The sequence below is a fragment of the Homo sapiens genome, chromosome 8 (genome assembly GCF_000001405.40).
Source record: "Homo sapiens chromosome 8, GRCh38.p14 Primary Assembly".
NCBI lineage: Eukaryota > Metazoa > Chordata > Mammalia > Primates > Hominidae > Homo > Homo sapiens.
In genome coordinates, this window is record NC_000008.11 from 119,777,107 (window position 1) to 119,794,523 (window position 17,417).

Consider the following 17,417-nt stretch of genomic DNA (forward strand, 5'->3'; position numbering starts at 1 on the left):
GTAATCTAGAGATGATTTAAAAGTATATGAGAGAATGTGAATAGGTTATATGCAAATATTATATAACATTTATATAAAGAACTTCAACATTTATAGATTTTGGTATACAAAAAGGGGGTCCTGGAACCAATCCCCCATGGATATTGAGAGATGACTACACTTTGCATTCCCCTAGGGAATCATATATATTTCCATTGTATCAATTATCACATGTGACTGCTGATTGCTTACTTGTCTGATTTCCCTATCAGGTTGTGTCCTTGATGGTGTAAAATCAGACTAATATAGAGCAGTTTTTTTAATGAATAAATAAAGTTCATTAAGACATCAACCATCTTTTCATTCCAGCTAACAGGGGACACTCTCTAGCACAGCATATACTCTTAAAAACATTTGCTGATTGTTGGAATGATAACAAGTAAGATAAAATAATTTTTGAAGCAGGACATCCAATTGCTATTTGCTAAATAAATGAATAAAGACACAATGGTAAAGAAAAGAAAAAAGGTCAAATGAATCAAGGAACAAGTTAATCCCAATCGAGAACTCTTTTCTAGGTATCATTAGGTGAACAAAAAATAAATCAATGTAAATAAAATTGTGCTGTCAGGTTTTATCAAGTTTTAACTGGCTACCCCAAATCTGATGTACTACTCTCTCCACACTACAAGAGGTTTGAAGAACATTTAAAAACTAATATTGTTTTTTATCCACTGGTTATTCTAATAAATCGTGTTTACATGCCTCTATCTCTAGAAATGTCAAGGACTGTGGACAGTCATCAAGTACGATGATTTTTATAGACTAAATATTTATTTAGAAACAAAATACCATTGGGTAGTTCTGTAATATTCATTAAGAAAATTATCTAAGACAACTGTTGTAGAAGATTTAAAAATAAAAGTACCTCACCTTATTTTTCCTGTTGTCATTGTACTTGATTAAGTCTAAAATAAATGTTAAGACTTCTTTAGGACAAAGATTATGAACATCTCTTAATAAAGCCATTGCAACTGGCATAGTCTACAAAAGAAAAAAAAGAACTTTTAAAAGCACAGAACCTAACTTTTTGTTACTACAATTCATTGAACTATAAATAGAAAAGGGTTACTCTTGGGCTGACATAGATATCTGGATGGAGCCTAACACCTCCACACCCCAACCCCTCCCACTGACAACATATCTCAAAGCATTCTAACATAAGAGAAGAGCTGGGCAGGAAACTAAGGGAAGAGTTCCATGACTGCACATCACTCTGTAGGCTATGTGCCTTGGCCTTCATTTGCTGGAGGAAATATATGTGATGTAAATTATATAAATTCACTTCTATGTGATACAGTGGAAAAGGCACAGATTTTAGAATTACTTCTGTGTGATACAGTGGAAAAGGTACAGATTTTAGCATTAGATGGACCATTATTCAACTCCTAAGCTCTACTACCTTCTGTGCTAGGTGCCTTTAGCTCGTTGCCTATTGAGTAGGAGCCTCATTTCCTCACAATCATTTTCAGCAATAAACGATATAAGTAGGTGGAGCCAACCTTCAGTCTTAGAACAAATTGATTGTCCCAACACCTAATCCTCATGAACACCCAATCCTCAACCTAAGGACAAAATGGTAAATTATCTGAAATGCAGCCTAATTTTTCTCTTTCCAAATTTTCATAGGCAACATTTTTAAGAATGTAGAAACATGACTTACACACACTGGTTAACTCTATCAGTAAAACAAAGCTAATTAAATGCTAGGCAGGACTACAGATGCATAGACATCTCAGTCTTTAGCACATGGCGAGATATGGACTAGCCCCTCTTCTTACTCAAAATAACTATATCCTCTAAAATGGAGGTCAGAAAGGAAAATGGCTCATTTTCTTGCTTGAAGAAGCAGAGATAACAAGAGCAACAACAGTCAGTTTTAGTACTATAGGAACAACTGAGGGAAAGGCGCTTTTCCGTAGAAATACCTGTCTTATGCCTTTTCTGCCCTTTGAGACTCAAGTTTCATTTAGGCACCAATCTCTCTCTCTCTCCTGTCCACTAGAAGTATTATCAGAAAGGTGAATTGGTATAAAAGCACTGACTTTCCAATTTTTTTGACAGTAGCTAACAGGAAAAAATACATTTTGTAACACAACCTAAGACACACACACACACACACACACACACACACACTTCAGATGCAACGTATACAAATTTAAAAGTGAACCCCAAATGCCTTATATTGAATACTACCTATTCTGTTTTATTTAAAAAAAAAATAAAAATAGAAATAAAAACTACACTGATTTCATGATCCCTTCACTAATGGTTCATAACTCCAATTTGAAACACTGACCTAAGCTACATGAAAGCACAGTGGCATCATGAGACAGATATATCAGGTGGACACAGAAATTAACTTGCTTCTATACCATAAATTCGTGAAATGGTAATACAGAGCAGTTCTTAAAAACAAAATAACAGGATGCCACAGACTTCTTTGATCACACCATTATTACCTTTCCCAAAACTTGGATCATCCTGAATCTGTCCTGATTAGATTTACTATAAATACATTCTGGCTTCCACTCTCAAAAGGCACCCCAGTGCTGCTGTGCAACCTACTTCTTTTCCATCGTAAATAAATTTCAACTTGCCTAACATTCCCCTCAACATCTATCTTTTCACTTGTTTTTAATCTACATTCCACCTGCCTCAAAAAAAGGAATGTTGTTTTCTAAAATTTACTTCCTTAATGTGCCCCACCCTCTAACACTTCCAGAACTTGCTCAGCCGTCTCTATTTACTTTCTCCCACCTGACTATTCCATCTCTGCCTCTTCACTGGCTCTTTTCCCTGTGTCATACATGCCTCAAGTTTGTTCTTCCCCTGTACAAAACAAACCCAAGAAGTCCTTTTCTCAACCTTGCTTCATCCTCAACATAGTATCCGTTCTTATATCTTTGACTAAAATCTTGAAAGAATAGGCTTCATTAGTTCTCTCTACTTCAACTTCACTCCTCCTTTCTAGTTCAATCTAGTTAATCTGATCTCTGCCTTCATTATGAAATTACTAAAAAAAAACCTCTATGTATGATATCCAAATAGCTCAAATGCTGACCATCCTGTCATTCCCATATCCTTTCCTAAAACAATGACTCTAACCACCACTTTCTAAAAATTCCACTTATAGAAAACTTAATATAAGCATAGCATAAAACACTTTACATACTTGATCTTAATTCCAAAAAAGATAAATTTTAAACTGAGGTGCAGAAGGTTAAGAAACTTATGCATGTGCAAACTGCTAGTGAGTAGTGGACTGGGACTAAAACTAGAGCTCTATGCTGTGCTGTCTCTGACTCAGATGTGCTGTCCACATTCTAGGACTGCCAATCGAAGGGCTTACTCACTTCTCCATCCCCCAGGTAACCAACCAAAAAGGCAAATTAAACATTTCTGGACACTTTAATATTAATGTGGCCAATGAGTTACTTGCACACAGATCACAAAATCAATAATCACTTAATCAAAGTTTGGAAAAATGTTTAAAAGTAAAAAAAGAGGCCGGGCGCGGTGGCTCACACCTGTAATCTCAGCACTTTGGGAGGCCGAGGTGGGCGGATCACAGGGTCAGGAGATGAAAACCATCCTGGCTAACACGGTGAAACCCCATCTCTACTAAAAATACAAAAAATTAGCCAGGCATGGTGGTGAGCGCCTGTAGTCCCAGCTACTCGGGAGGCTGAGGCAGGAGAATGGCGTGAACCCGGGAGGCGGAGCTTGCAGTGAGCGGAGCTTGCGCCACTGCATTCCAGCCTGGGCGACAGAGTGAGACTCTGTCTCAAAAAAAAAAAAAAAAAAGAATGGAGGCAAAGAAAGTAAACACATCTATTATTTGAACAGTCTCCAACTTAAACTGAAATATATAAAAACCATGAGAAAATTAGAAAGTAAACTGTACCTTCTGTAGAAAATAGCTTTGAAAGCTCATAAAGTTGTTTGTTTTCACAATGTTTGGACAACTTTTACAACAAAACATCCTAGTGAAGAGTGACTTCATGGCTGGTGGTCCTGTCCATGTGCTCACCATTGAATTTGCAATCTGCAAATAATTAGAAAACAAAGTAATTTCCATTACCAATGCAAACATACTTTAAAATAAAACAGCTTCTTAAAAGTTATCAATACTACAACTGGATTGGGTTTTCAACAACTTCACTTCTCAGAAATTTATAACAATTTAGCATTTTATCACCATTTCCAAGAAATTATACAAACTCACCCTGCAAAAAAGTTCTTTTTCCAGCCAGGCATGGTGGCTCACACCTGTAATCCCAGCACTTTGGGAAGCCGAGGCGGGTGAATCACCTGAGGTCAGGAGTTCAAGACCAGCCTGGCCAACATGGTGAAACCCCATCTATACAAAAATACAAAATAAATTAGCCGGGCATGATGGCGGGTGCCTGTAATCCCAGCTACTTGGGAGGCTGATGTGGGAGAACTGCTTGACTCAGGACGGGGAGGGGGAGGTTGCAGTGAGCCAAGATGGCACCATCGCACTCCACCCTGGGTGACAGACTCTCTCCAAAAAAAAAAATTATTTTTCCTCTTTTTTTTTTTTGGAGATGGAGTCTCGTTCTATCGCTCAGGCTATGGTGCGATCATGGCTCACTGCAACCTCTGCCTCCCGGGCTCCAGAGATTCTCCTGCCTCAGCCTCCTGAGTAGCTGGAACTACAGGTGCAGACAACCACACCTGGCTAATTTTTGTATTTTTGGTAGAGATGGGGTTTCACCATGTAGGCCAGGTTGGTCTTGAACTATTGACCTCAAGTGATCCGCCTGCCTCGGACTCCCAAAGTGTTAGGATTACAGGCGTGAGCCACTGCACTCGGCCGAAAAAATTCTTACATGTATTTATAATTATTTTCTACAAGTTAATTTCTAAATGGCAGTATTAAGTTTTAGAAAAATATGTATGCAAAAGACTTATATTTTGAATAGTCTGTCTTTATTCGTTTAGACAGATATAATTCTAATATTTTAACCTTATGAGACAGAAACATCATCATGAATTTTAAATAAGGTTTTTCAATCTACCCTAACTGAACCAGAAGCCAAATACAGTGCTACTATTTAAGGCTGTAAGCATGCTTTACAAAAGCATATCTTGCTTTACCCTATGTCTTGCTATTGATATTTTTAGGGTATATAAAAATCATGCCCCAAAAAATGAAATTATGATTAAACAACATATTCTACAATTTTATAGACCTGCTAAGATTTTAGCATACAGGGATCACAAAGATCTTTATAGAAACATTGAAATTATATCTTCTGCAGATGGTTTTATCAAGGAAAATCACTGCTTTCTCATATATCTGAGAACATAGGAATTCAACTACTCACTTATTATCATTAAAAATAAATCAAAACCATTATTAACTTGTTGAAATATAGGACATATGGATTTAACAGTGAGGAAGGCAAGAGTCACTAAATGGAAAATGAACCTATTATCAAGTTTTTAAAAAATACCTGGAAAACATTATTTCTGGACAAAGTTTTGTCTGCATTTTTCTGATTTTCATTTGTTCTACCTTCAGATAATTTGCATCTAAAAAACATATTTGGTTTTCTTAATTAACTTTTCTAGAATATTATAGTCTACCATTCTAAGTTACTTATCACTAATACCAATTTATAAACTCAAATCAACGTGAATAATTATTACAGTGGGATAATTAAGATTAATCAATCAATCAAGCACAGTGGAGCATGGTGGCACGTGCCTGTAATCCCAGCTGTGTTGGGGGCTGAGGCAGGAGTATCACTCAGGCTCAAGGGTTCGAGACCAGCCTGGGCAACATTGTGAGATCTTGTCTTTATTTAAAAAAACAAAATACACACACCCACAGACACACACACACACACACACAGAGATTTCATGTACTACAATGTAAAACATCACTCAAACCAAGGAATTGCTCACCAAATATATTCTTCGCTTTAAAAATGTGGTTGGCAATTCAACAAAATGGTGAAAATTCTCTTTGATTTTTAAAATCTAACTTTTCATTTTGACAATTATAAAATTATTCTGCATATCTATTTTCAGATCAAAACATGTTTCTTTCAAAACAGTCCTATTAATTTAAAAGCACTTTGGCAAAAGCTTTCAAAGAATCAGCTACCAAGTAAATTTAAAGACTAGGTGAATTTTAATTCATTTTCAGAGATACAAAAAATATATACAATAGTCATTTCCTTTATGCTGTATATAATCTCACCTTTGCAAGACAGAAGCAAGCTGACATTCTTACTCTGTAGAAACACTGCTCTTGTTCTAATATATCAGTGAGTGCAAGCCGAGATGCTGGAGTAGGGAATTTTTCCAAAGCCAAAATGGATTCCTGCTGTGCAACAACATCTCTCTCATAGCGGAGCTGATACTGCCACATAAAATCAGCTTGCTCAAATTCTACCTTCCTCAATACTGACATATCTGGGTCTATCCTTATCCACAGCAAAGGGGAATCAGCACTGCAAGAAAATACAATTTTCTTTTTAATTTAATTTTTAAACTTATCATCTATATATTTAGAAAATAAATACAAAGCATTTATTTACCAGGTTTCCTTTTAGATGTAGTATTCAAGACTGCCTGGAGTTTTACTGTATTCATTTTTTTAAACTGCACTGACAAATTTCTCATTATGTTTAACATATGTCAACTTTCTCACAATGTCTGATCTATATCAATCTTGCTAAAAAGATACTCAAAAATAAGAAAATATTAATTGTCTTTTACAAAGGACACTGAATCTCTCATTTCCCATCTGAAATTATTTTGGTGATTTTGATTTGTGATTATATGAGGCAAAAAAAGAATGAGATGAATTTCTTAATTTGTTTAGCTGACTTAAGACTTTTTAAAAATACTAGACTCACGATCGCCTTTTTCAAACAGCAAGTTCTGAAATCATAATTTGGAGGTATATCACAAATTTATTTTCATGTATTTCTCAAAGTAACAAACACAGTTTAAAAAATCTAGTCTATGTCGACACCTTCATCAAAAGAACACCACCTGTAATATTAATTCAAATTCAGCAAATATTATTGTGTACTTACTACAGGCAGGGTACTTGCTATGGAAAAATCAAAATTAGCACTGATCTCAGCCAGGTGCAATGGCTCATGTCTGTAACCCCAGCACTTTCGGAGGTTGAGGCGGGTGGATCACTTGAGGTCAGGGGTTCAAGACCAGCCTGGCCAACAAGGCGAAACCCCATCTCTACTAACAATACAAAAATTAGCCAGGCATGGTGGCATGCAGCCAGGCATGCAGTGAGCCGAGATGGTGCCACTGCACTCCAGCCTGGGCAACCAAGCAAGACTCTGTCTCAAAAAAAAATTAACACTGATTTTGAAGGGCAAACAAACATAATCTGTATATAAACAGCAGTGATAATCTGGCAATCAAGTTAGTAAATAATTACAGAGGTTTTATAAAAAATATACAGGTACAGAATGGGCAAAATTAGAAAGTTTGAGCTGTATCATATTTAAAAATAAAACACTGTCAATCAATAAATATTACCACATAAAGTTTAGAACAGTGGTTTTTAAATTGTTTTGCAAGCATAGGGAGACTTAAGGCACCCAAGACCTTTGTTCTAAGGACAAAGAATCAATATCACCTGGGAGCTCATGAGAAATGCAAACTATCAGGCCTCACTAGTGTAGTACTGGATCAGAAACTGCATTTTGGGAAGGTCCCCAACTGATTCACATGCACATTATAGTCTGAGCACTGCTCTAGAGGCCACAAAGAGAGAATAAGGAAGCTGCCTAGTCAAAGTTGTGCTCACCCCTCAACCATAATGCATTTCCTCTTAATTTCACCTAGGCCCTGGCAGACTTACTTTTTATCTCTGATTAGTTATGATTTTACATAAACTGTTTTAACATAGGGTTTCTATTAAATTAAAATAATGTTAAAGCACTCATTTGGAGGACAGTTATACACTTTTACGTACGCATAACAAAGTAGACAGATGAGAATGCAGAAAGTATTATAACCTTATATTTAAGTTAACTAACTTACTCCATTGCAGAAAGATCCATATCAACTTCTTCTCCATTCATCAGTGGGATTTTTTTCTTTTTATTCCTACATTTAAGAAAAAGTAGGTTGGAAAATTGTGAGATTTCTAATTCTGAATGGACATTAACAGCAGCTAAAATTCAAATAAAGTATTTCACACAACATTGAAAGCTATCCTTAGGAAAAATGGCTATCAAATGTAATAAAATTTAAATAGAACAAAGTCTCTTTATTTTAAAGCTGGTGGGAATGAAGTAAACATCAAATTATTTTCCTGATCAAATGTTAACAAGAAGCATGAATATATAATAAAATGTCAACCTAAAACATATATTCCAAGAACTGATAGCTGCAATTTTGTATAGAAAAGGGGATATATCAATAAAGAAAACTCTTAAACAGAAAAAGGATCAGCCTTGAAATGGGATACGAATAATTCTGAGCTGTCAGCTGCATATATGCAAGGTTCTGTCCTATATGAATTAGCTAATAAAATATCTTAAGAGTATTGATCAATATGTAGAACCAATTAATACGCACAAGGTTCAAGATAAGCAAAAACAAAAGCAACAGTTTTTATGTTAACTGGGGAAGGGCAAATAAAAACAGGAACAGAGAAAACTTTTCCTGTGTTCCTCATACCAAAGAATACTCCAAATGACATTCTGTTATTACAGAGAAAAAAACCTGAGAATAGCAATCAAATGTTACCAATTTCCAAGGTGGATAGGACAAAAAGAAATAAGAATCTCACTCTGATTTAAGAAAGCATTTTCTCAGAGTAAGAATGACTATAAGAAGATTTCAGAATCAAGTTCCTTAAAAGACTTCAAAGTCAACAGACACTCTCATCTATCTGAGTGAACTAAACACAGTCATGAGTATAATACAACTTCTGTTCCTGAAAGTTCGTATTTCTCCAGCAAAGCACAGATATGTTCTCATCTCTCACTGTTCAGAATACATACTAATTGTTGTGTTAAATAAGGGGTAAATGAAGAATATATTAAAGAAAAGTGGCAATTTGCCTTTGAAATACATCAAGAATGTTCTGAAGGGGCATGCTGATATAGAGAAAAAAGAAAAAAAGACATAGTAAGCAAGATGTAGAGGCTTTTCATGACATATTCAGTTCTTTCCCTTCAATCACCATTTTTCTAATATTTCCTCTAGGTATTAATCCAACAAGACTAACAAGAATGAACCTATTTGTCTTGAATTTTTTTCTAGTACCAAAAACTAAAACTTTCATTCTAGCTCCTCGGCCTCTACCTTCAAACAAAATGAGGATTCTTAAAACTAAATGTTAAAAATTCTTATAAAAATGTCATCAAGAAGGCAAGCAAACAAAGAATGTTTGGTAATACTAACTGGAAGTAAAATGAGGAAAAAAAGATACCTGATAACATGTTCTCTACCTAAAAAATTAGGTATACATAGGCCGGGCATGGTAGCTCACGCCTGTAATCCCAGCATTTTGGGGGGCCGAGGTGGGCAGATCATCTGAGGTCAGGAGTTCAAGACCAGCCTGGCTAACATGGTGAAACCCTGTCTCTACTAAAAATACAAAAAGTAGCGGGGCGTGGTGGCAGGCACCTGTAATCCCTGCTACTCAGAAGGCTGACACAGGAGAATTGCTTGAACCGGGAGGCGGAGGTTGCAATGAGCTGAGATCGCGCCACTGCACTCCAGACTGGGTGACAGAGCAAGACTGTCTAAAAAAATTAGGTACACCTAAAACCACAAAAACCCTAGAAGAAAACCTAGGCAATACCATTCAGGACAGAGGCATGGGCAAAGACTTTAGGACTAAACACCAAAAGCATTGGCAACAAAAGTCAAAATTGACAAATGGGATCTAATGAAACTAAAGAGTTTCTGCACAGTTAAAGAAGCTACCATCAGAGTGAACAGGCAACCTACAGATTTGGAAAAATTTTTGCAATCTATCCAACTGACAAAGGGCTGATATCCAGAATCTACAAGGAACTTAAAGTTACAAGAGAAAAACCAACCCCAGGGGAGGGATAGCTTTAGGAGATATACCTAATGCTAAATGACGTGTTAATGGGTGCAGCACACCAGCATGGCACATATATACATATGTAACTAACCCGCACATTGTGCACATGTACCCTAAAACTTAAAGTATAATAATAATAAAATAAAAAACAAAAACAAAAACAAACAAACAAAAAAAAACCCAACCCCATCAAAAAGTGGGTTAAAGATATGAACAGACACTTCTCAAAAGAAGACATTTATGCGGCAACAAACACATGAAAAAAAGCTCATCATCACTGGTCATTAGAGAAATGCAAATCAAAACCACAATGAGATACCATCTCACGCCAGTTAGAACAGCAATCATTAAAAAGTTAGGAAACAACACATGCTGGAGAGGATGTGGAGAAATAGGAATGCTTTTACACTGTTGGTGGAAGTGTAAATTAGTTCAACCATTGTGGAAGACAGTGTGGCAATTCCTCAAGGATCTAGAACCAGAAATACTATTTGACCCAGAAATCCCATTACTGGGTATTACCCAAAGGATTATAAATCATTCTCCTATAAAGACATATGCACACGTATGTTTATTGCAGCACTGTTCACAATAGCCAAGACTTGGAACCAACCCAAATGCCCATCAATGATAAACTGGATAAAGAAAATGTGGCACATATACACCATAGAACACTATGCAGCCATAAAAAAGAATGAGTTCATGTCCTTTGCAGGGACATGGACGAAGCTGGAAACCATCATTCTCAGCAAACGAACACAGGAACAGAAAACCAAACACTGCATGTTCTCACTCATAAGTGGGAGTTGAACAATGAGAACACACAGACACAGGGAGGGGAACATCACACACCGGGGCCTGTCAGGAGGTGGGGGGCTAGGGGAAGGAGAGCATTAGGAGAAATACCTAATGTAGATGACAGGTTGATGGGTGCAGCAAACCACCATGGCACGTGTACACCTATGTAACAAACCTGCATGTTCTGCACATGTATCCCACAACTTAAAGTATAATTTAAAAAAAATTAGGTATACAAGAGAATTTTTATTTTGGCATTTTAGTCTGTGAGATTTGTAGTTTAACTTTCAATTTATAGTTATTATGTAATGCCTACCTTCTACTTTTGGAATGGCAGGGTATATCATGTTTAAGGCTGTTTTCTTCAATTTGCAGTGTATGATTGAAGGATCCATCTAACTCCTGCACTGTCACTTTAAGTGGTCCCTTTTAAAAAAAAAACGTACTGTTCAGAGATGTGATTTAAAAAATACCAATATGTATGCTTATGTGTACAGAGAAATATAAATCAAGATATAAAATATTACACAAAATGAGTATCTGGAGACCTAGATAGGCAATTGGTGCCAAAGAGGGCAACTGGAAGATTCTGAGTCCCCAGAAATCTCTGTACTTCCTCTTCCCTTCTTTGACAAAGTCAATGTTTTCTCAATTTATCCACTTCAAACAAAATCTCATTAATTTCTAAGTAGTAACCCATCCCTAAGTCCCTCTTCTATTGAAACTGAGGAGATAGCAGTACAAAGGCGATTTTGGAAAAAGACTTACCACGTATTTCTGAGTTCCAGGAGATGTATAGTCCTGTTTTATTTCCAGTTCCAAGACATTTCGTTTTCTATTAAATGCAAAACTTCCATAAAATTTTACCACTCCACTCTGATCTCTGAAGAATTGTAAAGGAAAGTTTACATACTGAAACGAATATGTACTAAACAAAGTAAGTTATCCATCATGGTATTAATAATTTTCAAGTGCATTCCCACCAGTTCAAAGTTTGAGAGCATACGCTACAGTAAACCAGGTGGCAAAGTATTCAAAGTACTTGTGAAAAATGCTTTCCCAGATTTAAATAAAATTTCTGAAACACTGACAAATTTGTGTTTTGAAAGAAGCAGAACCACTATACAAAGTTATTAATAGTGTTTTAAAGTGAAAAATGCAAAAACTGCAAAATTCCAAGATACCACTCAAATTGCGCCAACCCCTAATCACATCCACAAGTCACTAAACTACCACACCTCACAAGTAATCCTACAGGTCTGTCTGGTAGATTACTTACCTATCCTATCATCAAACCAATTTTTTTACTCACATATTCTTTACTCACTAGAAAGTACTTTAAAATATGCCAAACTTTACAAATATAAACATACATGTGTGTGCACCTTAATGTCTAGTAGGCATCTTAGATGAAACAATTCACAGTTCATCATTATTTCTACCATTGTTTAGAAATATAAACAGTTCATACTTCCTTGAGTCCCCCTCAAACCTCTCTTCTTCCATCTTCCCCTTGCACACATACCTTATTCCCTTCCCCACTCTGTTGAACTGCTATTGAAAAGGATACACCCACTGCTTTATTAACGGCTGAATATCTTTGCCAGAGACATTTGAAATGGATTTCAAAAACCCAGATGTGGAAACCAACATCTGACTCCACATATGTGACTGGAACTTCTGAGATGAAGCAGTACTAGCCAGACTTAGCAGTTTATTGAAAACCTGTAAGGATAAAATCATTTAGTAAATTCATATAACAGATTCTTTTCAATTATATAGAATACTCACTTTGCATTATAACTTTATTGTAGTCAATTATAGAAGACAATAATTTCACTATTTATTACACAGATTATTCTAAAGACTACTAGCAATAGAAATATGCAAAGATATAAGCAGCCAGAATACAAAACCATTCTTCATATAAACATTATTGAATGTTAATGATGTACTGAATAATATTAAGAATTATAGTAAGAATAATATATAATACCTATAATTTATTGTAGTTTATATAGAAACTAGAAATTAAGAAGCTAATGATACTCATCAGGATTTATACCACTCCAAAGCTTGAGTGGCTCTTTATGGACCATCTCTCTTTTAACATTTCTGTTCTTCATTCTAAAGGCCAGGTGTGGTGGCTCATGCCTGTAATCCTAGCACTTTGAGAGACCAAGGTAAGTGGGTAGCTTGAGCCCAGGAGTTTGAGATCAGACTGGGCAACATAGTGAAACCCCATCTCTACAAACAATACAAAAATTAGTCAGGCACGATGGTGCATGCTTGTAGTCCCGGCAACTCAGGAGGCTGAGATAGATGAGAGGATCCCTTGAGCCTGGGAGGTCAAGGCTGCAGTGGGCCGTGACTGCACCACTGCACTCCAGCCTGGGTGACAGAGACCCTATCTCAAAAAAAAACAAAACAAACCAAAAAAAGGCAAGGTGAAGGACAGAAAGATTAAAGAAACTGAACTTTACAGCAAACTTAAAATGCTTTAAAAAAAGCATTATTTTTTACCTGCCTCTAAGAATGTTAACAATGAAAAAAAATGGCTGAACATTTGGTTTCCACTCGCAACTACTAAATCACAACCATTTACTCTGAAACTTGCTTAAAATACATGGCAAAATTTAGCGATAGCAAAAATAAACATCTTTTTTATTGGTTTACGTTTTTCTATTGAAAACAGTTTAAAGTGGCATTTCATCCTTAATACAATGCAGAACACAAATTCATATGTATAAATATGTTTTACTTTCATCCCCACAATTCTAGTTTTTTTTTCTTTTGAGACAGTCTCACTCTGTCACCCAGGCTGGTATGAAGTGGCACAATCATAGCTCACTGCAGCTTCAACCTCCTGGACTCAAGCAATCTTCCTGCCTCCACCTCCCAAGAAGGTGGGACTACAGAATCATGCCACTATGCCTGACTTAGTAATAAAAATTTTTTTGAGATGGGGGGGGTCTTACTATACTGCCCAGGCTGGTCTCGAACCCCTGGCCTCAAGCAATCATCCCACCTCAGCCTCCCAAAGTGCTGGGATTATAGGCATGAGATACCATGCCCAGCCACCACATTCTAATTATATCTTCATAAAATTCATGTGCAAAGTTGTTCTGGTATTGATACCCATTCTACATCTGAGGAAATGCAAATATAAAGCACAGGTTACTTAGTGGGCAAACAAAACTATAAATCCAGATGTCCTGACTCCTATTCTACAGAAACATACTCAGATTATACACATACAGATCTTTATTTACCATTGTTAAGTTCTTAACTTTAATACTTACTTGTAGCATAAATTCCATACTGATCCTATTTTCAATCAATCTCATCACAAGGTGGGCTTTACACTGAAACATACTGTAGTATTCCCAGGACAGTGTATGTGGATGCTTTATTGAAAAGTGTAGATGGGAAGCCGGACTAAAAAAAATAAACACATTTACCTAATACAGCAAATGTGACTATTAAATAAAAAATAAATTTCATGACCACATCAAGAAAATACCCAAAAAACCTCAGGAGAATATATAAGCAATTTCCTTAGTACTAATAAACATCTAAAAATAAACTTAACTAGAAGAAAATTATGAAGTTTTACTTAAGGACATAAAGGAAAATCTGAATAAATGGAAACAAACACCAAGCTCCTAGATGGGAAGATACAATACTGTAAATACTTCCATTCTCCCCAAATCCATCAATACAATCAGTGCAATTCCAATCAATATCCCAACATTGAAGCATGCACTAAAATATATTAAAGATTGATTATATATGTAAAACAAAAACCATTATAAAAGTACTAAAAGAAATGAAGGAAAAAATTTCTCTTTATATTTTGGGATGGGAAAAATTTTCCTAAGAAAAAATACAAAATCTGGAAGACATAAAGACCACAATGACTACATAAAAATTAAAACATTTTGACACAATGAAAAGGATCATAAGTAAATTTAGAGAAAGATACAGTCTAGAAAATATTTACGACATACATGAACATTTAATTTGTTTACAAATTATCACTAGACCAAATAATGCTATGGTGAGTATCTTTTTACACATGTGCAAATATTTCTGTATGATAAATGCCTAGAAGAATTTCTTTCTTTCTTTTTTTTTTTTTTTTTCTTTTGAGATAGAGTCTCGCTCTTATCCCCAGGCTGGAGTGCAGTGGCACAATCTTGGCTCACTGCAACCTCCACCTCCCAGGTTCAAGTGATTCTCTTGCCTCAGCCTCTCAAGTAGTTGGGACCAGGCACCCACCACCACGCCTGGCTAATTTTTGTATTTTTTGGTAGAGATGTGGTTTTGCCATGTTGGTAGGCTGGTCTCAAACTCCTGAACTCTGGTGATCCACCTGCCCAGCGTCCCAAAGTGCTGGGATTACAGGCATGAGCCCCCGCGCTGGGCCAGAAGAATTTCTACATGATCACATACCTAGAAGAATTGCTGGATCTAAAAATTACCCATTCTACAATTCTGATTAGTACCACACTAAATTACCCATCAGAAACACTGTATCAAACTACACTCTCACAGTGTATGAGTGGTGCTATAGTTTGTTTGAATGATGGTGCCCCCTCCAAAATTCATGTTGAAACTTAAACCCCAACGCAACAGTCTTAAGAGGTGGCCTTTGGGAAGTGATTAAATCATCAGGGATCTACCCTCATGAATGGGATTAGCGCCCTCATAGAAAGGCTCCAGGTTGAAGGGAGCGTTCTCTTGCCCTGCCATCCCTTCCACCTTGTGAGGACACATTCTTTCCCGCTGGAGGATGCAGCAACTAGGTGCCAACTAGGTGCAGAGAGCAGCCCTCACCAGACACCAATCCTCCCAGTGCCTCAGTCTTGAACTTCCCAGCCTCCAGAACAAGAAGTAAATTTCTACTGTTTACATTATTACCCAGTCTGTGGTACTTTGGTATAGTAGAATAAACAAACTATGGCAAGTGGTATTATGCATCTCCTTCAAAATGTGGCATATTGGTTAAGGCAGGAGGATTGCTTGAGCCCAAGAGTTTGAGATCAGCCTGGGTAACAATGTGAGACCCCATTTAAAAAAAATTAAAAAAAAATTTTTAATGTGGCACATTAAAACTTCAGATACTTTATAATCAATCTGATATTTTAAAAATTATTTTTATATTTTACTTATTACTTCCAATCTTATGAGCTTTATGAGTCTGTAAGCTTTAGCAAAGAATAGCAATAAGAAAAAGGTTAAATAAATTCTGAGGTACAATGAAATACTATTTAGCTCTTAAATGGAATAATTGTTATATATAGTCAAGGTTTATAATATCATCTCTGAACAATAAACATACTTATCCTTCTCTTTTCCTCCACCAAATATGGGATGTAGTAAAACCCCACCAGTTTTTAGTTCATATGCCACTATTTTGTCTAGCTCCTAAAAAATATATAAAAATAGGAGTCAGTAAAATTTGTAAAGTAACATTTTTTTACATACCAAATTTTAGAATTAAACTGTGAATTCTCATTTCCTAAAATCAGAATGTAAATTTCTTAAAATAAGTGAAATGTATTTAAAGAGTAGTTTATGTTCTTATAAATAAAGCAGCCTACACAGCTGGCAGAATGACAAAAGCCAAAGACTTCTCTACTTTATGACTTCAGGGCTGGACAGCAGCCTGGCAACTTTTTCTTATGGCTGTTCTCAATCTCTCTGAGCTGTCTCCAAGTTTATTTTTCCTTCTCTGTATTTTGCTTCAAAAAATTTAGGCGAGTAAAAAGGAATGGGAATAAATTATGTCAGGAATCTATCATTTTAAAACTTCTCCAGTCTTCTCTAACATGACATAAATTGAACTTTTAAAAAGGGGGATTTTTTTTTTTAAACAGAAAAAAAAAGGGGGGGTTGGGGGCAGTTGTTTTGTTTTGTTTTGAGACAGGGTTTTACTCTGTCACCCAGGCTGGAGTTCAGTAGCTGATTATGGCTTACTGCAGCCTTGACTTCCTGGGCTTAGGTGATCCTCCCACCTCAGCCCAAGAAGCTGGAACTACAGGCACATGCCACCGTGCCTGGTTAATTAAAAGAAAAAAAGCATAAGTGAAGACGGGCGCAGTGGCTCACATCTGTAATCCCAGCACTTTGGGAGGCTGAGGCAAGTGGATCACGAGGTCAGAAGTTCGAGACCATCCTGGCCAACATGGTGAAATCCCGTCTCTACTAAAAATACAAAAAATTAGCCGGGCGTGATGGCGGGTGCCTGTAATCCCAGCTCTCAGGAGGCTAAGGTGGAAGAATCGCTTAAGCCCGGGAGGCAGAGGTTGCAGTGAGCCGAGATTGCGCCACTGCACTACAGCCTGAGCAACAGAGTGAGACTCCGTCTCAAAAAAAAAAAAAAGCATAAGTTAAAATAAAGACACTACCACAATTGTGCTGGAAACTCCTAACTGCTTTAAATAATACAGATGTAGTACAGAAAAGTGGCAAACAGCATAGAGAAGAAACTAAAAGC

At 36.4% G+C, this 17,417-nt stretch overlaps 1 protein-coding gene across 8 annotated transcripts in view; it reads right to left on the reverse strand.

Annotated features, from left to right (window-relative positions):
* The window catches only part of TAF2 (TATA-box binding protein associated factor 2), a 102,068-nt gene that overhangs the window by 46,333 nt on the left and 38,318 nt on the right, over window positions 1-17,417 (reverse strand). For 5 of the 8 annotated variants that reach the window (NM_003184.4, NM_001437338.1, XM_017013780.2 and 2 more), the window contains 9 exons: window positions 16,260-16,345; window positions 14,218-14,353; window positions 12,486-12,640; window positions 11,684-11,798; window positions 11,232-11,341; window positions 8,095-8,160; window positions 6,275-6,527; window positions 3,947-4,087; window positions 913-1,023 (listed from right to left, as the gene is read on the reverse strand). In NM_003184.4, coding sequence (NP_003175.2) covers window positions 913-1,023; window positions 3,947-4,087; window positions 6,275-6,527; window positions 8,095-8,160; window positions 11,232-11,341; window positions 11,684-11,798; window positions 12,486-12,640; window positions 14,218-14,353; window positions 16,260-16,345 — 1,173 coding nt within the window. The remainder of the gene's footprint in view (window positions 1-912; window positions 1,024-3,946; window positions 4,088-6,274; window positions 6,528-8,094; window positions 8,161-11,231; window positions 11,342-11,683; window positions 11,799-12,485; window positions 12,641-14,217; window positions 14,354-16,259; window positions 16,346-17,417) is intronic. The other 3 variants (NM_001437339.1, NM_001438084.1, XM_047422153.1) reach the window with 2 other exon arrangements.